Source organism: Homo sapiens, chromosome X (assembly GCF_000001405.40).
Source record: "Homo sapiens chromosome X, GRCh38.p14 Primary Assembly".
Lineage (NCBI taxonomy): Eukaryota > Metazoa > Chordata > Mammalia > Primates > Hominidae > Homo > Homo sapiens.
This window is the reverse complement of record NC_000023.11, coordinates 75,297,752-75,319,609: the sequence shown is the minus strand read 5'-3', so window position 1 is coordinate 75,319,609 and position 21,858 is coordinate 75,297,752. Positions and strand designations below refer to the sequence as shown.

General features: G+C 37.9%; 1 protein-coding gene across 5 annotated transcripts in view; it reads right to left on the bottom strand.

The window, feature by feature from the left end:
- UPRT (uracil phosphoribosyltransferase homolog) overlaps positions 14,713-21,858 on the bottom strand; it is a 148,529-nt gene continuing 141,383 nt past the window's right edge. For 3 of the 5 annotated variants that reach the window (NR_030774.1, NM_001363821.1, XM_047441832.1), the window contains 3 exons: positions 19,714-19,875; positions 18,645-18,743; positions 14,713-16,205 (listed from right to left, as the gene is read on the bottom strand). Coding sequence is in view for 4 of the 5 variants with exons in the window: in NM_001363821.1 (NP_001350750.1) it covers positions 16,099-16,205; positions 18,645-18,743; positions 19,714-19,875 (368 nt within the window). In the remaining variant the exon portion in view is untranslated. Of the gene's footprint in view, positions 16,206-18,594; positions 18,744-19,713; positions 19,876-21,858 lie in introns of all 5 variants that reach the window. The other 2 variants (NM_001307944.1, NM_145052.4) reach the window with 2 other exon arrangements.

Sequence of the window (21,858 nt, the reverse complement as noted above, 5' to 3'; positions counted from 1 at the left end):
CCCAGAGTGAGCGACATAGAAGATGGGTGATTTCTGCATTTCCAACTGAGGTACTGGGCTCATCTCACAGGGGAGTGTTGGAAAGTGGGTGCAGGACAGTGGGTGCAGCGCACCGTGTGTGAGCCGAAGCAGGGCGAGGCATCGCTTCAACCGGGAAACGCAAAGGGTCAGGGAAATCCCTTTCCTAGTCAAAGAAAGGGGTGACAGATGGCACCTGGAAAATCGGGTCACTCCCACCCAATACTGCACTTTTCCAATGGTCTTAGCAAACAGCACACCAGGAGATTATATCCCTCGCATGGCTCAGACGGTCTTATGCGCACAAAGCCTTGCTCACTGCTAGCACAGCAGTCTGAGATCAAACTGCAAGGTGGCAGCGAGGGAGGGGTGCGCGCCATTGCGGAGGCTTCAGTGGGTAAACAAAGCAGCTGGGAAGCTCGAACTGGGTGGAGCCCACCACAGCTCAAGGAGGCCTGCCTGCCTCTGTAGACTCCACCTCTAGGAGAAGGGAATAGTGAAACAAAAGGCAGCAGAATCCTCTGCAGACTTAAATGTCCCTGTCTGACAGCTTTGAAGAGAGTAGTGGTTCTCCCAGCATGCAGCTGGAGATCTGAGAACGGACAGACTGCCTCCTCAAGAGGGTCCCTGACCCCCAAGTAGCCTAACTAGGAGGCACCCTCCAGTAGGGGCAGACTGACATCTCACAGGGCCGGGTATTCCTCTGAGACAAAACTTCCAGAGGAACGATCAGGCAGCAACATTTCCTGCCCACCAGTATCTGCTGTTCTGCAGCCTCCACTCCTGATACCCAGGCAAACAGGGTCTGGAGGGGACCTCCAGCAAACTCCAACAGACCTGCAGCTGAGGGTCCTGACTGTTAGAAGGAAAACTAACAAACAGAGAGGACATCCACACCAAAACCCCATCTGTACATCACCATCATCAAAGACCAAAGGTAGATAAAACCACAAATATGGGGGAAAAACAGAGCACAAAAACTGGAAACTCTAAAAATCAGAGTGCTTCTCCTCCTCCAAAGCAACACAGCTCCTCACCAGCAACGGAACAAAGCTGGATGGAGAATGACTTTGACGAGTTGAGAGACGAAGGCTTCACACGATCAAACTACTCTGAGCTAAAGGAGGAAGTTTGAACCCATGGCAAAGAAGTTAAAAAAAATTGAAAAAAAATTAGACGAATGGCTAACTAGAATAACCAATGCAGAGAAGTCCTTAAAGAACCAGATGGAGATGAAAACCAAGGCAAGAGAACTACGTGAAGAATGCACAAGCCGCAAGAGCCGACTCGATCAACTGGAAGAAAGGGTATCAGTGATGGAAGATCAAATTAATGAAATGAAGTGAGAAGAGAAGTTTACAGAAAAAAGAATAAAAAGAAACGAACAAAGCCTCCAAGAAATATAGGACTATGTGAAAAGACCAAATCTATGTCTCATTGGTGCACCTGAAAGTGACAGGGAGAATACAACCCAGTTGGAAAACACTGCAGGATATTCTCCGGGAGAACTTCCCCAATCTAGCAAGGCAGGCCAACATTCAAATTCACGAAATAAAGAGAACGCCAAAAAGATACTCCTCGAGAAGAGCAACTCCAAGACACATAATTGTCACATTCACCAAAGTTGAAATGAAGGAAAAAATGTTAAGGGCAGCCAGAGAGAAAGGTCGGGTTACCCTCAAAGGGAAGCCCATCAGCCTGCCAGCTGATCTCTAGGCAGAAAATCTACAAGCCAGAAGAGAGTGGGGGCCAATATTCAACATTCTTAAAGAAAAGAATTTTCAACCCAGAATTTCATATCAGCCAAACTAAGCCTCATAAGTGAAGGAGAAATAAAATACTTTACAGACAAGCAAATGCTGAGAGATTTTATCACCACCAGGCCTGCCCTAAAAGAGCTCCTGATGGAAGCACTAAACATGGAAAGGAACGACCGGTATCAGCAACTGAAAAAACATGCCAAATTGTAAAGACCGTCAAAGCTAGGAAGAAACTGCATCAACTAACGAGCAAAATAAGCAGCTAACATCATAATGACAGGATCAAATTCACACATAACAATATTAACCTTAAATGTAAATGGGCTAAATGCTCCAATTAAAAGACACAGACTGGCAAATTGCATAAAGAGTCAAGACCCATCAGTGTGCTGTATTCAGAAAACCCATCTCACGTGCAGAGACACATATAGGCTCAAAATAAAGGGATGGAGGAAGATCTACCAAGCAAATGGAAAACAAAAAATGGCAGGGGTTGCAATCCTACTCTCTGACAAAACAGACTTTAAACCAACAAAGATCAAAAGAGACAAAGAAGGCCATTACATAATGGTAAAGGGATCAATTCAACAAGAAGAGCTGACAATCCTAAATATATATGCACCCAATACAGGAGCACCCAGATTCATAAAGCAAGTCCTTAGAGACCTAGAAAGAGACTTAGACTCCCACACAATAATAATGGGAGATTTTAACACCACACTGTCAACATTAGACAGATCAATAAGACAGAAAGTTAACAAGGATATCCAGGAATTGAACTCAGCTCAGCACCAAGCAGACCTAACAGACATCTACAGAACTCTCCACCCCAAATCAACAGAATATACATTCTTTTCAGCACCACACCACACCTATTCCAAAATTGACCACATACTTGGAAGTAAAGCACTCCTCAGCAAATGTAAAAGAACAGAATTTATAACAAACTGTCTCTCAGACCACAGTGCAATCAAACTAGAAGTCAGGATTAAGAAACTCACTCAAAACCACTCAACTACACGGAAACTGAACAACCTGCTCCTGAATGACTACTGGGCACATAACGAAATGAAGGCAGAAATAAAGATGTCCTTTGAAACCAAGGAGAACAAAGACACAACATACCAGAATCTCTGGGACGCATTCAAAGCAGTGTGTAGAGGGAAATTTATAGCACTAAATGCCCACAAGAGAAAGCAGGAAAGATCTAAAATTGACACCCTAACATCACAATTAAAAGAACTAGAAAAGGCAGAGCAAACACTTTCAAAAGCTAGCAGAAGGCAAGAAATAACTAAAATCAGAGCAGAACTGAAGGAAATAGAGACAAAAACAACCCTTCAAAAAATTAATGAATCCAGGAGCTGGTTTTTTGAAAAGATCAACAAAATTGATAGACCACTAGCAAGACTAATAAAGAAGAAAAGAGAGAAGAATCAATTAGATGCAATAAAAAGTAATAAAGGGGATATCACCACCGATCCCACAGAAATACAAACTACCATGAAAGAATACTATAAACACCTCTATGCAAATAAACTAGAAAATCTAGAAGAAATGGATGAATTCCTTGACACATACACCCTCCAAAGACTAAACCAGGAAGAAGTTCAATCCCTGAATAGACCAATAACAGGCTCTGAAATTGAGGCAATAATTAATAGCTTACCAACCAAAAAAAGTCCAGGACCAGATGGATTCACAGCCGAATTCTACCAGAGGTACAAGGAGGAACTGGTACCATTCCTTCTGAAACTATTCCAATCAATAGAAAAAGAGGGAATCCTCCCTAACTCATTTTATGAGGCCAGCATCATCCTGATACCAAAGCCTGGCAGAGACACAACAAAAAAAGAGAAATTTAGACCAATATCCCTGATGAACATCGATGCAAAAGTCCTCAGCAAAATACTGGCAAACCGAATCCAGCAGCACATCAAAAAGCTTATCCACCATGATCAAGTGGGCTTCATCCCTGGGATGCAAGGCTGATTCAACATACACAAATCAATAAACGTAATCCAGCATATAAACAGAACCAAAGACAAAAAACACATGATTATCTCAATAGATGCAGAAAAGGCCTTTGACAAAATTCAACAACACTTCATGCTAAAAATTCTCAATAAATTAGGTATTGATGGGACGTATCTCAAAATAATAAGAGCTATCTATGACAAACCCACAGCCAATATCATACTGAATGGGCAAAAACTGGAAGTATTCCCTTTGAAAACTGGAACAAGACACGGATGCCCTCTCTCACCACTCCTATTCAACATAGTGTTGGAAGTTCTGGCCAGGGCAATGAGGCAGGAGAAGGAAATAAAGGGTATTCAATTAGGAAAAGAGGAAGTCAAATTGTCCCTGTTTGCAGATGACATGATTGTATATCTAGAAAACCCCTTCGTCTCAGCCCAAAATCTCCTTAAGCTGATGGGCAACTTCAGCAAAATCTCAGGATACAAACTCAATGCTCAAAAATCACAAGCATTCTTATACACCAATAACAAACAAACAGAGCCAAATCACGAGTGAACTCCCATTCATAATTGCTTCAAAGAGAATAAAATACCTAGGAATCCAACTTACAAGGGATGTGAAGGACCTCTTCAATGAGAACTACAAACCACTGCTCGATGAAATAAAAGAGGATACAAACAAATGGAAGAACATTCCATGCTCATGGGTAGGAAGAATCAATATCATGAAAATGGCCATACTGTCCAAGGTAATTTATAGATTCAATGCCATCCCCATCAAGCTACCAATGACTTTCTTCACAGAATTGGAGAAAACTACTTTAAAGTTCATATGGAACCAAAAAAGAGCCCACAGTGCCAAGTCAGTCCTAAGCCAAAAGAACAAAGCTGGAGGCATCATGCTACCTGACTTCAAACTATACTACAAGGCTACCGCAAGTAAAACAGCATGGTACTGGTACCAAAACAGAGATATAGACCAATGGAACAGAACAGAACCCTCAGAAATAATGCTGCATATCTACAACCATCTGATCTTTGACAAACCTGAAAAAAACAAGCAATGGGGAAAGGATTCCCTATTTAATAAATGGTGCTGGGAAAACTGGCTAGCCATATGTAGAAAGCTGAAACTGGATCCCTTCCTTACACCTTATACAAAAATTAATTCAATATGGATTAAAGACTTACATGGTAGACCTGAAACCATAAAAACCCTAGAAGAAAACCTAGGCAATACCATTCAGGACATAGGCATGGGCACAGACTTCATGTCTAAAACACCAAAAGCAATGGCAATGAAGCTAAAGTTGACCATTGGGATCTAATTAAACCAAAGAGCTTCTTCACAGCAAAAGAAACTACCATCAGAGTGAACAGGCAACCTACAGAATGGGAGAAAATTTTTCCAATCTACTTATCTGACGAAGGGCTAATATCCTGAATCTACAATGAACTCAAACAAATTTACAAGAAAAAACAATCCCATCAAAAAGTAGGCAAAGGATATGAACAGACACTTCTCAAAAGAAGACATTTATGCAGCCAAAAGACACATGAAAAAATGCTCATCATCACTGGCCATCAGAGAAATGCAAATCAAAACCACAATGAGATACCATCTCACACCAATTAGAATGGCGATCATTAAAAAGTTCGGAAGCAACAGGTGCTAGAGAGGATGTGGAGAAACAGGAACACTTTTACACTGTTGGTGGGACTGTAAACTAGTTCAACCATTGTGGAAGTCAGTGTGGCGATTCCTCAGGGATCTAGAACTAGAAATACCATTTGACCCAGCCATCTCATTACTGGGTATATACCCAAAGGATTATAAATCATGTTGCTATAAAGACACATGCACACGTATGTTTATTGCGGCACTATTCACAATAGCAAAGACTTGGAACCAACCCAAATGTCCAACAATGATAGACTGGATTAAGAAAATGTGGTATATATACACCATGGAATACTATGCAGCCATAAAAAAGGATGAGTTCATGTCCTTTGTAGGGACATGAATGAAGCTGGAAACCATCATTCTCAGCAAACTATCGCAAGGACTAAAAATCAAACACCGCATATTCTCACTCATAGGTGGGAATTGAACAATGAGAACACATGGACACAGGAAGGGGAACATCACACACCGGGGCCTGTTGTGGGGTAGGGGGAGGGGGGAGAGAAAGCATTAGGAGATATACCTAATGTTAAATGACGAGTTAATGGGTGCAGCACACCAACATGGCACATGTATTCATATGTATCTAACCTGCACGTTCTGCACATGTACCCTAAAACTTTAAGTATATAAAAAAAAAGAAAAAGAATAAAAAAAGATAAAACACTATTTCTCATAAAAAGACAGAATTAAGTAAAGTAAAAAATTATCATTATATTTTATAAGTGGTCGTGGAATTCAGAAACATGGTATATGTAAAATAAAAGAAAAACAGAACCACATGTTAGAGAAATTCTCTAATATAAACTGTGAAATAAGGAAGATTGTTTTTTAAAATCCTGGATTAAATTACATTTTGATAAAATAAAAAAATTTTTAAAAAAAGTGCAAAAATGCTGAAAATTCCAAAAGCCAGAATGCCTCTTCTCCTCCAAAGTATCACAACCTCATGCCAGCAAGGGCACAAAACTGGATGGAGAATGAGTTTGATGAATTGACAGAAGTAGGCTTGAGAAGGTTGGTAATAACAAATGATTCCAGCTAAAGTAGGATATTCTAACCCAATGCAAGGAAGCTAGGAACCTTGATAAAAAGTTATAGGAACTGCTAACTAGAATAACCAGTTTAGAGAAGAACATAAATGATCTGATGTAGCTGAAAAATACAGTACGAGAACTTCGTGAAGCATACACAAGTATCAATAGCCGAATCGATCAAGCGAAAGAAAGGATATCAAAGATTGAAGATCAACTTAATGAGATAAAGCGTGAAGACAAGATTAGAGAAAAAAGTAATGAAAAGGAACAAACAAAGCCTCAAAGAAATATGTGACTATGTGAAAAGACCAAACCTATGATTGATTGGTGTACCTGAAAGTGAGGGGGAGAATGGAAACAAGTTGGAAAACACACTTCATGATGACATCCAGGAGAACGTTCCAAACCTAGAAAGACAGGCCAATATTCAAATTCAGGAAATACAGAGAACATCACAGGTCAACATTCAAATTCAGGAAATACAGAGAACACCACTAAGATACTCCTTGAGAAGTGCAACCCCAAAATATAATCGTCAGATTCACCAAGGTTGAAATGAAGGAAAAAATGTTAAGGGCAGCCAGTTAGAAAGGTCAGGTTACCTACAAAGGGAAGCCCATCAGTCTTACAATGGATGCCTCTGCAGAAACCCTACAAGGCAGAAGAGGGTAGGGGCCAATATTCAACATTCTTAAAGAAAAGAATTTCAACCCAGAATTTCATATACAGCCAAACTAAGCTTCACAAGCAAAAGAGAAATAATATCCTTTCCAGACAAGCAAATGCTGAGGGATTTTGTCACCACCAGGCCTGCCTGACAAGAGATACCAAAGGAAGCACTAAATATAGAAAGGAAAAACTGGTACCAGCCACTGCAAAAACATACCAAAATATAAAGACAAATGACACTATGAAGAAACTGCATCAAGTAATGTGCAAAGTAACTAGCTAGCATCATGATGACAGGATCAAATTCACACATAACAATATTGACCTTAAATGTAAATGTGCTAAAAGCCCCAAATGAAAGACACAGATGGGCAAATTGGATAAAGAGTCAATACCCATTGGTGTGCTGTATTCAGGAGACCCATCTCACATGCAGAGACACACATAGGTTCAAAATAAAGGGATGGAGGGGTACTTATGAAGCAAATGGAAAGCAAAAAAAAAGCAGGGGTTGCAATCCTCGTCTCTGATAAAACAGACTTTAATCCAACAAAGATCAAAATAGACAAAGAGGGACATTACATAATGGTAAAGGGATCAATGCAACAAGAAGAGTTAACTATCCTAAATGTATATGCTCCCAATACAGAAGCACCCAGATTCATAAAGCAAGTTCTTAGAGACCTACAAAGAGACCTAGACTCCCACACAATAATAGTGGGAGACTTTAACACACCACTGTCAGTATTAGACAGATCATGAGACAGAAAATTAACAAGGATATTCAGGACTTGAACTCAGCTCTGCACCAAGCAGAACTAATAGACATGTACAGAACTCTCCACCCCAAATCAACAATATACATTCTTCTCAGCACCACATCGCACTTATTCTAAAATTGACCACATAATTGGAAGTAAAACACTCCTCAGCAAATGCAAAACAATAGAAATCATAAAAACCAGACTCTCCAGACCACAATGCAATCAAATTAGAACTCAGGATTAAGAAGATCACTCAACAGCACTTTGGGAGGCCAAGGCAGGCAGATCACAAGGTCAGGCGATCATGTCCATCCTGGCTAACACAGTGAAACCCCATCTCTACTAAAAATACAAAAAAAATAGCCAGGTGTGGTGGTGGGCGCCTGTAGTCCCAGCTACTCTACTAGGGAGGCTGAGGCAGGAGAATGGCATGAACCCAGGAGGCGGAGCTTGCAGTGAGCCAATATCGCGCCACTGCACTCCAGCCTGGGTGACAGAGCAAGACTCCATCGCAAAAAAAAAAAAAAAAAAAAAAAAAATCACTCAAAACCACATAACTACATGGAAATGGAACGACCTGCTCCTGAATGGGTACTGGGCAAATAACGAAAATAAGGCAGAAATAAATAAGTTATTTGAAACCAATGAGAACAAAGACACAACATACCAGAATCTCTGGGATACAGCTAAAGCAGTGTTTAGAGGGAAATTTATACAACTAAATGCCCACAGGAGAAAACAGAAAAGATCTAAAATCAACACCCTAACGTCACAATAAAAAGACCTAGAGAAGCAAGGGCAAACAAATTCAAAAGCTAGCAGAAGACAAGAAATAACTAAGATCAGGGCAGAACTGAAGGAGATAGAGACGGGAAAAACGGTTCAAAAAAAATGTATCCAGGAGCTGGTTTTTTGAAAAGATTAAAAAAATAGACTGCTAGCCAGACTAACAAAGAAGAAAAGAGAGAAGAATCAAATAGACACAATAAAAAAATGATAAAGGGGATATCACCACTGACACCACAGAAAAACACACTACCATCAGAGAACACTATAAACATCTCTACACAAATAAACTAGAAAATCTAGAAAAAAATGGAAAAATTCCTGGACACATACACCCTCCCAAGACTACACCAGGAAGAAGTCGAATCCCTGAATATACCAATAACAAGTTCTGAAATTGAGGCAGTAATTAATAGCCTACCAACCAAAAACAAAGCCCAGGACCAGATGGATTCACAGTCGAATTCTACCAGCGGTACAAAGAAGAGCTGCTACCATTCCTTCTGAAACTATTCCAAACAATAGAAAAAGAGGGACTCCTCCCTAACTCATTTTATGAGGCCAGCATCATCCTGATACCAAAGACTGGCAGAGACACAACAAAAAAAAGAAAATTTCAGGCAAATATCCCTGAAGAACATTGAAACAAAAATCCTCAATAAAATACTGACAAACCAAATCCAGTATCACATCAAAAAGCTTATCCACCATGATCAAGTGGGCATCATCCCTGGGATGCAAGGCTGGTTCAACATACACTAATCAATAAACGTAATCCGTCCCATAAACAAAACCAACAACAAAAACCACATGATTTTCTCAATAGATGCAGAAAAGGACTTCAATAAAATTCAACACATCTTCATGTTAAAAACACTCAATAAACTAGGTATTGATAGAACATATCTCAAAATAATAGGAGCTATTTATGACAAACCCACAGCCAATATCATACTGAATGGGCAAAAGCTGGAAGCATTCTCTTCGAAAACTGGCACAAGTCAAGGATGCCCTATCTCACCACTCCTATTCAACATAGTATTGGAAGTTCCGGCCAGGGCAATCAGGCAAAAGAAAGAAACAAAGGGTATTCAAATATGAACAGAGGAAGTCAAATTCTTTCTGTTTGCAGATGACATGACTGTATATTCAGAAAACCCCATTGTCTCAGCCCAAAATCTCCTTAAGCTGATAAGCAACTTCAGCAAAGTCTCAGGACACAAAATCAATGTGCAAAAATCACAAGCATTCCTATACACCAATAATAGACAAACAGAGAGCCAAATCATGAGTGAACTCCCATTCGCAGTTGCTACAAAGAGAATAAAATACCTAGGAATACAACTTAAAGGGACGTAGAGGACTTCCTCAAGGAGAACTACAAACCACTGCTCATGGAAATAAGAGAGGACACAAACAAATGGAAGAACATTCCATGCTCATGGATCGGAGGAATCAATATTGTGAAAATGGCCATACTACCCAAAGTAATTTATAGATTCAATGCTATCCCCTTCAAGCTACCATTGACTTTCTTCACAGAATTAGAAAAAACTAAATTTCATATGGAACCAAAAAAGAGCCTGTATAGCCAAGACAATCCTAACCAAAAAGAACAAAGCTGGAAGCATCACCCTACCTGACTTCAAACTATACTACAAGGCTACAGTAACCAAAACAGCATGGTACTGGTACCAAAACAGATATATAGACCAATGGAACAGAACAGAGACTTCAGAAATAATACCACACAACTACAACCATCAGATCTTTGACAAACCTGAGAAAAACAAGCAATGGGGAATGGATTCCCTATTTAATAAATGGTGTTAGGAAAACTGGCTAACCATATGCAGAAAACTGAAACTGGACCCGTTCCTTACACCTCATATAAAAATTAACTCAAGATGGATCAAAGACTAAAATGTAAGACCTAAAACCATAGAAACCCTAGAAGAAAACCTAGGTAATACCATTCAGGACATACGCGTGGGCAAAGACTTAATGACTAAAATGCCAAAAGCAATGGCAACAAAAGCCAAAATTGACAAATGGGATCTAATTAAACTAAAGAGCTTCTGCACAGAAAAAAAAAAACAAAAAACTATCATTAGAGTGAACAGGCTACCTTTTGAATGGGCAAAAATTTTTGCAATCTATCTATCTGACAAATGTCTAATATCCAGAATCTACAAGGAACTTAAACAAATTTACAAGAAAAAAACAGCCCCATCAAAAAGTGGGTGAAGGATATGAACAGACACTTCTCAAAAGAAGACATTTATGCAACCAGCAAACATTGGAAAAAAAGCTCATCATCACTGGTCATTACAGAAATGCAAATCAAAACCACAATGAGATACCATCTCACACCAATTAGAATGGCAATCATTAAAAACTCAGGAAACAACAGATGCTGGAGAGGATGTGCAGAAATAGGAATGCTTTTACACTGTTGGTGGGAGTGTAAAGTAGTTCAACCATTGTGGAAGACAGTGTGGCGATTCCTCAAGGATCTAGAACCAGAAATACCATTTGACCCACAATCCCATTACTGGGTATATCCCAAAGATTATAAATCATGCTACTATAAAGACACATGCACACGTATGTTTATTGCAGCACTATTTACAATAGCAAAGACTTGGAACCAACCCAAATGCCCATCAATGATAGACTGGATAAAGAAAATGTGGCACATATACACCATGGAATACTATGCAGCCATAAAAAAGAATGAATTCATGTCCTTTGCAGGGACACGGATGAAGCCATCATTCTCAGCAAACTAACACAGGAACAGAAAACCAGACACCACATGTTCTCACTCACAAGTGGGAGTTAAACAATGAGAATACATGGACAAAGGGAGGGTAACATCACACACTGGGCCAGTTGGGGCATGGGGAGCAAGGGGAAGGATAGTATTAGGACAAATATCTAATGCATGTGGGGTTCAAAACCTAGATGACAGGTTGATGGGTGCAGCAATCCACCATGGCACATGTATACCTATGTAACAAACCTGCACGTTCTGCACATGTATCCCAGAACTTAAAGTATATTTAAAAAAATGAAAATACCTTTTTTCTTATTTCTTTTTATATCACTTTAAAAGTATCAAAAACAAACAAAAACCCACAATGTATTATAAGGTTTAACATGTGTAGAAGTAAAACATGACAATAATAGGGAACAGACTCGAGTGGGGGAATAGAAGTACATGAAGTTCTTATCTTACGCTTGAAGTGGGCTGTGATAAATTAAAGTTATATACTATAAACCCTAAAGGAACCACTAAAAGAAGAAAGTATTGCATCTAATATAATCCAAATGGATAAAATGGAATAATAAATAATAATGCAAAAGAAGGTAGAAAAAGAGGAAAAAGTGAATAATGAACAAATAGAAGGCAAATAGCAAGATGGTAGATTTTAAACCAATCATATCAATAATCACATTAAATAAAAATGGTCTAAACATCCTGATTAGAAGGCAGAGACTGTCAAATTGGAAAAATAAAGCAAGGCCCAACTCTAGGTTACCTATAAGAAACCCAGATTAAATATAAAAACAATTCAGGTGTGGTGGCACATGCTTGTCATCCCAGCTACTCAGGAAATAGGAGTTGAAGTCCAACATGGGCAATATTGCAAGACTCTGTCTCTAGAAATAAAATTTTGAAATGTTTAATTTAAAAAATCTATAAAAACACAAATAGGGCTGGGTGTGATGGCTCAAACATGTGATCTCATGGCTTTGGGAGGCTAAAGTGGGAGGATCCCTTGATGCCAAGAGTTCAAGATCAGCCTGGGCAACATAGCAAGACCCCATCTCTACAGAAAAATTAAAAATTAGCCAGGTGTAGTGACGCATGCCTGTAGTCCTGGCTACTTGGGAGGCTGGGGCAGGAGGATCACTTTAACCTAGGAGTTCAAGGTTACAGTGAGCTATGATCATGCCATTGCATTCCGGCCGGGGTGATGGACTGAGACCCTGTCTCAAAAAAACCCCACACATAAGTTAAAAGTAAAAGGATGAGGCCAGGCATGGTGGCTCACACCTGTAATGCCAGCACTTTGAAAAGTTGAGGCGGGCAGATCACTTGATGTCAGGAGTTCGAGTCCAGCCTGGCCAATGTGGTGAAACCCCGTCTCCACTAAGAATATACAAATTATCCAGGCATAGCAGTATACGTCTGTAGTCCCAGCTACTTGGGAGGCTGAGACAGGAGCATCACTTGAACCCAGGAGGCAGAGGTTGCAGTGAGCCAAGATCACGCCATTGCACTCCAGCATGGGTGACAGAGTGAATGAGACTCCATCTCAAAAAAAAAAAAAGTAAAAGGATGAACAAAGATATGCCATGTTAGTATTATTCAAAAGAAAGCCAGAATATTTACATTAACATCAGGCAAAGTAGATTTCAGAAGAATAACAGGGATAAAAGGGAATATTTCATGATAATGAGTCAGCTTATCAAGAGAACATAACAATCCTAAAAGTTTACACTCCTAACAACAAAGCTTCAAAATACATAAAGCAAAAACTGATAAAACTGAAAGGAGAAACAAACAAATATAAATTTTAGTCAGAGATTTCATCGATCTCTCCCAACAACTGATAGAATAAGTAGACAGAAAGTCAATAAAGTTGCCTCAGAAGGAGCAGATGAAAAAAGAGAAAATCAGTAAAGTAGACTTGAACAACACTATCAACCAACTTAACCTAATTGACATAGAACACTCTATCCAAAAATGGCAGGATAAAACATAGTTTTCAAGCACCCATGGAAGATTTACCAGAAGAGACTATATTCTGGGCCATAAAACAAGTCTCCATAAATTTAAAAGGATTCAAATAATAAGAAGTATATTCTCTCACCACAGTGGGATTAAATTAGAAAGCAATAACAGAAAGAAATCTGGAAAATCCCATATTTGGAAATTAAATGACATGTTTCTAAATAACCCTGGGTCAAAGAAGAAATGAAAAATGAGCAATTATTTTAATATAAATGAAAATGAAACATTCTATATCAAAATTTGTGAGGTACAGCTAAATCAATATTTATAGGAAAACTTATAACATTAAATGCTTCTATTATAAAAGAAATGTCTTAAATCAAAATATGGTCTCCAAAACAATGTTAGCATCTCGTGGGAACTTGTTAGGCCACAGCAATCTGTGGCCCTCTAGGTGATTCTGATGCACATTCAAGTTTTGAGAACCACTGCATATACGATTGGACTGTTCTTTTTATTGTGCTAGGGTGTGTTCTTCAGCAAGGAATATACAAAGTTTATACTACTCTGAAGTTCATATTACTTAAAAACAATGTTGTTTTCAATAGTCTGTTAATCTTGTGTTAAATTTAGAATACTTAAAAAATGTCCCACGCTCAGAGTCCTGCAAGTGATTAACCCTACAAATAATGCCTCATTTGCTAAAAAGACCCAAACTTCAAAACCCATAGGTATAATTTTCTTGAAATCTAGAGAGGGATAGAAGACAAATATCAGGGGCGACTATGACCTCATTGAATACTTCCTACTGCTCATTCTAGGCCCTTCATGTGGGAACCAAATGTAGTCAACTAAATATCAATCGAGGAACAAAGACATGTTAAATCTAAATGGCTGGTAATACAAAAATAATTTGCTTAAAATATGGTTTTATATCTACACTTGAATATAAATTTGTCTGCTGTTTTGGAAAGTCACCTCAAATGAAATACTGAAGCCCTAACATAAGCAATAATTTAGAAGCATTAACTCCTATAGTGGTAGGCATCATCTTTTCAACTAGTTTGATGCACCAATCTCAAGCATATCTGTTCTCCATCTAAATTTGCTGGTTCACATCTGTGCTGGGAGAGGGAGATAGAAATTCTAGCTTTAACGGGCTTTAGTTATAACTTCTGCTAGTCAGGAGTAAACAAAATCCACACTGTATCAAGACAGTTAACTGACAAGTATAGATGAGAATTTCAGTAACAACTTGAAAGCAACATTTGCCATGGAAGAACTGTAATATGAGTAATTTATTAATCTCAATTTATTATATGACAGTATTCAAAAATAAAGGGAAAAATATACTGAAGTTCTTCTAGTATTCTAGTCCCCAAAGGAAAAATATAATCCAATCTACACCAGGCTTCCTTCCTTTCCCCCAATCTTTGCTGATTTCATCAGCTTTGATTCTTTCTAAGACATTTCCTTCTGCTCTTTTCTGTGCTTTTGAACAGAGGCCCACAACAGCTTCCTATGGGGCCATGGGAGTATAATTAATCAAGTAATCAGCTAGCCAACACTGTTAAAATGTTTTAATATCAATGTAAAATGAGATGAGAGTTTTACAAGCAGATTTCAGAACACCAACACTGATTTCCAATATGATTTCTCTCCCTTTCAGAAGCCTAAAGATGAACATATACAAATCTTAGGGGTTTTTACAAAAAGCATGGTTTTTTTCTATTTTCATACATATACAGTTGACAAACATGCAAAATAACTAATTTCCAAATCAAAGGTCTCTAGCAGAAACATCCAAATTAAAAATGAAGCATTTAAATTTACTTACTGGCCATGAAATCCAGCAAGAAACCACCCTTTCCCCCACACTTCAGAAAAACCACCAATTCCTTCCTAGAGGATTGATGGCATTAACAGTACTTGGCTCTCCCTTGTCAGCATCCAGACATCCCCGGTTCAATCTTGTAAATTAATGTTACAGTTCCAATTACTAAAAATGCCCCACCATCTTCTTCACTGCATTACAGCTTAGCAAGGCACCTACCAACAATGCAGTTTGGGAAATGAGCCATGAAAAACATAATGGCCTGAGAGTTAACCATACATCCTAGGTCTGCCAACTGAATGAGGACATTAATGGGAATGTAAAATTCCAGGAGACATTCTTTTATTCTCCTCTCCAAGTTACTAGCATGTCCAGTATCAGAAAGAAAACAGTAGAGGAATGTGGCAATAGCCACATATGTGAAACCTTAGTAGAGCTAAAACCAAACTAAACAAAATGCAAACTACAGTGGGACAAAGAACTGACTCTCATTTGAGTTTTATTTGTGGCTTCAAGCAACCTCCAAACTAAGAGGCTCATAAATTAGGAAATAATTTTAATGCACTGAGGGTTCAGTAATTTGCATTAGAATATTATTAAAATTTATGTTTTGTAAGAGTTGCATATACTTCATTGTTGAATTCGGTGCCAACAGTAAACAAATAACTAAATGAGATATAACCTCAAATATACCCACTTCCAAAACTAAAAAGCATTTTAACACATTTTTCTCTGCCACCCTCAAGTGAATCAGTAAAACAAATAGAAAATCAAAACATGATTGTAATATTACATAAGATAATTATTTTACTTAAATAACTTAGTCTGTTCCAAAGTATTTCTGTCCAAAATGTGTAGGTGCAACAGGATGAACTTCAGTAGTTAAAATTGTGATCTCTGGAAACTCCTGAATGATTGATTTGGCACCTTCAAAAAAACAAAAGTTATTATGGTAGGATGTTTTGGTAACACCAGTTGTAATTCAGGAATTTTGTAGTTATTGCCACTAGGTCTAAAATTGAGAGAAGACAGAGAGCAATGATCTTTGGATACCTAATCAGACTTGGTTAATCTCTTCCTTTGTATAAAGTCTGAAAAGCTTTGACAGTAGTCAGATTATGCCCCCTCCATCTCACTAATACATTCTTAGAATTATTATTTTATACTCAAGTTGAAAAATATAATTGTTCAGTTATAGAAACTTTCCCCCTAAAGAGTATTTTTTATTTTGTTTAATTTTAAAGGTGACTGTAATAGAGTGAATACAGTCCTTTTTAAAATGAGGATCACAGGCCAAGCACAGTGGCTCAAGCCTGTAATCTCAGAGCTTTAGAAGGCTGAGGCAGGAGGATCACTCAAGGCCAGGAATTTGAGACCAGCCTGGGCCACACGGCAACACCCCATCTCTATTAAAAAAAAATTAAAGAGGAACACACGTAAGATGATGGTTTCTCAACTGAAACACTGTGAAACAAGTGTAGTGTTTCACAGTGTACTTGCTTTTCACAGAAAAAGCTGGTGTGTCAGAGCACGCCAGCTTTTTAGAAGTTAGGACTCTAGCTTATGGGGAGGGGAATAGGTAGGGAAAAGTAACAAGGACTAGGATATTCATTGTAGAGTGATTTGGCATAAGAAAAAATGTGAAAGTATGTAAATAACTCACAATAAGGAAATGGTTAAATAAATAACATATATTCAAAGGATGTAATATATAACTGTTAAATCATATTTTTGGAAAATATTGAATGGCATCAAAAATGTACATGGTAAATGTAAAAATGTAAAAAATGTATAAATAACAGCACTAGAATCACATAAAATGTTATCACCAAGCTTAAGAGATGACCAATACAAATTATGACTATTTTAATTACCCTGTCAAACTAAAAATCCATAGCAAAGTTGCCACAGAATAAAATTTTTCAGCTATAAATTTCAAAGAATAGTACACCATTCTCATGTATACTATTAGAACTAAAAAGAGTGCTTTTCTATTCCCAAAGGTAAAAATTTTAATAATTATTGGATTCTCTCAATATTTTCAATGCCACCTGTGTTTTATATATATAAATGATAACTTAAGCAAATCGCCTTTTGTTACCACCAACATTTGAACTACAAGTAATATTTAGTTATGAAACAGCAAAGTAATCAAACAGGCCATAACTCCTGTCAATAACCTACTGAAACCAGCTTTCCCAACTAGATATACTGTAGCCTCTTCAGAACTGGCTAAGACTTAGAAATTTTGGAAATGAGAAAACACCTGACTAGAGAAGCCATATATTGCCCTTTTTAAAAATTATGAAGCAAATACAAATTCATTGTAGAACATTTGAAAAATACCAATTTAAAGCTTAAAAATAAAATGAAAAGCACTTAGAATCCCACCAGCCTAAAATAACCACTATTAATATTGTGTATGCATTTTGAAACCAAAATTGAAACAACACTGTGTGTCTGTCTAGCCTCTCATGCTAAGGAAAGATTTATTAGGTTCCATATTAAATCCAACTCTGATTTTTGTAATTAAAATAGTCATAATTTGTACTGGTCATCTCCAAGCTTGGTGGTAACACTTTACCCTATTCTAATGCTGTTATTTTTATACTGCTTTTTTACATTTACCATGTACATTTTTGGATGCCATTCAATATTTTCCAAAAACATGATTTAACAGTTACATAATAGTATATCCTTTGAATATATATTATTTATTTAACCATTTCCTTATTGTGAGTCATTTGTATACTTTCACATTTTTTCTTATACCAAATAACTCTACAATAAACATCCTAGAAGCTAAATTTCTACATGCACCTATACTTATTTTCTTAAAATATATTCCCAATTGTTCTGCAATGTATGGCGAAAAACACTAAGATCTTAAGTTAGGTACACCTCCTTCAGGAATGGAGAACACACAGTTCTCTCTGCCCTTTGAGCAGAAGTCTAACTTTAAAAACTTCTGCTCTTCACTTCACACTGCAAAGATTACTTCAGTAAGACTACAGGGCTAGCTAGAACCTTATGTTTCTTGCTGTTTGTGAGCAGTTCTCAGGCTCAAGTGGCGAGCCAAGGGAAATAGGAACCTTTGAGTCATTTGCAGGCCAAACCAGGAAAACAATTGCAATTCTTTTAAATGGGGTTAGTTCATACTTCTCCATTTGCATTTGAACATTAGAATGGTATAAAATGTTATCACTAAGCTTACAGATGACAAACACAAGTTATAATTACCCAAATTAGATTCAGATTTAATGTGAAAGCAGATAAACTTTTCCTCAGGATTAGAAGCTAGAAAATGCATACTTACCCACCTCAGGACTATATGGAGCCCTAGTTACTGCCTCATGCTGAACTCACCATGAGGAGTGGAGAACAGACTGAGTAGGATGATAACACTGGGTTGAACTCCATGTTCTATAAGAACCTTTACAGCTTCAATTACAGTATTTCCAGTGCCTGAAATCAAAAGATAACCAAATGAATTAGCAACCTTAACATTCATTTTTAAATGTCTTTTTTCTTTTTTTGGGGGAGGGGGGACAGGGAATCACTCTGTCACTCAGGCTGGAGTGCAGTGGCATGATCTCGGCCCACTGCAGCCTTGACCTCCCAGGCTCAAGCCATCCTCCCACCTCAGCCTCCCAAGTAGCTGGGACTATAGGCACGTGCCACCACACCCAGCTACTTTTTCTATTTATTGCAGAAATGGGTTCTCCATATGTTGCCCAGGCTGGTCATAAACTCCTGGGCTCAAGCGATCCTTCCACCTCGACCTCCCAAATTGCTGGGATTACAGGTGTGAGCCACAGCACGCGGCCACAAAATGTCTTTGAAGTAAGAGCAATATAGCAATCTAACATAAGAAACCACTTCATATGAAGGTACTTGTTCTTTATTAATGCTATCTTCAATAATGAACATGACACATACACTTTTCAGTTATCAAATACCAAGCCCTAAATTCATTTAGTATATGAGGTATCAAATTTAACATATTCCCTCTCACCTCCCTTAAAGACCATGCCAAGTGTGGTCTGAGTAAGCTTAAGAAACAGAACAGAATAGCAGGAAAAAATGTTACCTCCAGAGAGAATAAATTATTGAGGAAAATCACTGCTGTACTCATTAGGCTAAAGAGGAGATATGTTTCAATATATTTTCTGTATTCCATATATTTTGCCTCATTAAATCCTTTGTTTCAATGTGTTCAAGACGGAAGTTTGTTGGGGCTAATAAGGTCTGACTACTGTATATTCTCTTATTATGCAATAAAAACTCTCCAGTGAACTGCCTGGGGCAGTTTTCCCAACTGAGAAAAAAACATTTAGAAACTCTTTTTGCCTTTTATATAAGGGTACCTAGGAGGCAGGCACTAAGTTGAATTTAAACCCTAACCAAAGGTTACAAACAAATGGAAGCCACTCACTGAGAATTGGATACATCAGAAGGACTTTTCTCCGGTAAATGTCTGGGGGGAATTTGGCATAATATACTTTGGCTCTTTGTGTCTCCTCATCACTCTGAATCAGGATCTTTCCAATTCGTATGGATCGACAGCAGTCTCGTAAACCTTGTTCCATTGCCTCACCTTGAAGAAGAAAAAAGAAAGAAAAAAGATTAGGGGAAAGAGAGAGAAAGTCCAAGAACAGGCCAAAGTATAGTTTGTCACTGTTATTAATACAAAAAGGAAGGAAGATGAAAATAATTATTTTGAAGCTGACAGCTTTTATTTCTGATATGCTCATATTTCATACTTAGTGGAGGTTAATGAAACCAGGTTAAGGGCTGGTTAATGAAACTAGAATAAGCTAGTTTTATTGCTAGCTTACAAGTTTTAGAGCTGTCATGCTTCCGTGATTATAGGAAATAAAGCATTTTGTTGAGCAGCTCCCTGAGCTTTTTTAATATCAGGAATATTTTTATCTCTATTATTTTAAAGAAGCCTTTAAACCACCTAAATTTGTGACTTTTGTATGAGAAAATGCAAAAGATTTATGGAAGAATAAAGGATGTAGATCAGAAAGTCTCCTTTTAGGTCAAGGTAGCATCAGGGGACATCACTTAGCTCAACAATGACTTCTCAACAGCAAAGATTTTGCTGCAAGCAGTGAAAAAGTTGTATATTGTTCCCCCTCTCCCAGGTAATAATAACTAGCACTACCACCGTTGATTTCTGAACACAGAGCTATTTTTGAGTCTGAATTCCTTTAAAGAAGTGTTTGCCAAAAGGCAGTCATTCTCATGCCATCTTCAAGATTTTAGGCCATATCAGAATTCTACCAATACTGGCATTTACTTAACATTTTTCTTAAATTTATTGTTTTCACTTAAATTTATTTTAAGAGGAAACTATATCACTAGTGTAAACATAAAACAAGTTTCTTTCTAATATATATGAAAATCAACAAATGGCTATTAAGGTTATAAGCAATGCTGTACATCACCACAAGTCATCTAGTACATACTAAGGGTACAAGGACCATGCTTGTGCCTTTAGAGAAGAAGCTGAACTGAAACAGAAGAAACTGCACCTTAAAAGTCCATTGTCTTTACCAGTTTTTAAAAGTTGAACATCATTGTCCTGAAATGTCCTGAAATGCTATCAGTGCTTAAGAGCTTCCTCCTAGAAAAAAGGAGCTTAAAGTTCCTAGTTTACTTGAGGCATTTAATTGTTCACAAACATAACTTCATAACCAGAAGAGAAAAGTGAATGTTTATATGTTAAAAATTAAACTATATGTATTCAGTGCAAACAAGTGGAGCTTCTACCACTTATGCAAAAAAAACATAAATCTTACGTGAAACAATTAAGTTGGCTGAATGGAAAAAACCCCATGTAACAGGTAAAGGTTCTAATCACAGGCAAGTGATTTTGCTATACAAAGGTTGGTTTAGAAGGGTAATCAGTTGGACTCAAACACAAATACAACATTCATAAGACCAGCAGATGGAAATACCTAGAATTAATGACAGTCAAGCACTTTTGCCTATGTGGTCACGTACTCATCATATATAAAGTTTTAAAGTATTAGGTTGGGTATGGTGGCTCATGCCCATAATCCCAGCACTTTCGGAGGCTGAGGCAGGAGCATCACTGGAGGCCAGGAGTTTTAGACCAGCCTGGGCAACATAGCAAGACCTCATCTCTACCAAAAAAAAAAAAAAATTGTTTTTTAATTTGCTAGGTATAGTGGCATGTGCCTGTAGTACTAGCTGCTCAGGAGGCTGAGGTGGGAGGATTACTTGAACTCAGGAGTTTGAGGTTACAGCGAGCTATGATCACGCCACCATACTCCAGCCTGGACAATAGAGTGAGACCCTGTCTAAAAAAAAAAAAAAGTAAAAATATCAAACAAGTCATTTAGCCCAACAACAGAAATAAAAACAGAAGAAATATTTTCTCCAGTCAGGTATTCAAAGTTCTCCAAGCCCGAATTTATACCATATTCCCTCAGTCTTCAAACTGACCTGTTCTCCCCAAGATAGCATCACCACATCCTCCTATCCTCCCATCCTCCTCTGAATCTCTTTGAAAGCTGGCTTGCCCATGGGAGCACTCTATTAGGGAATA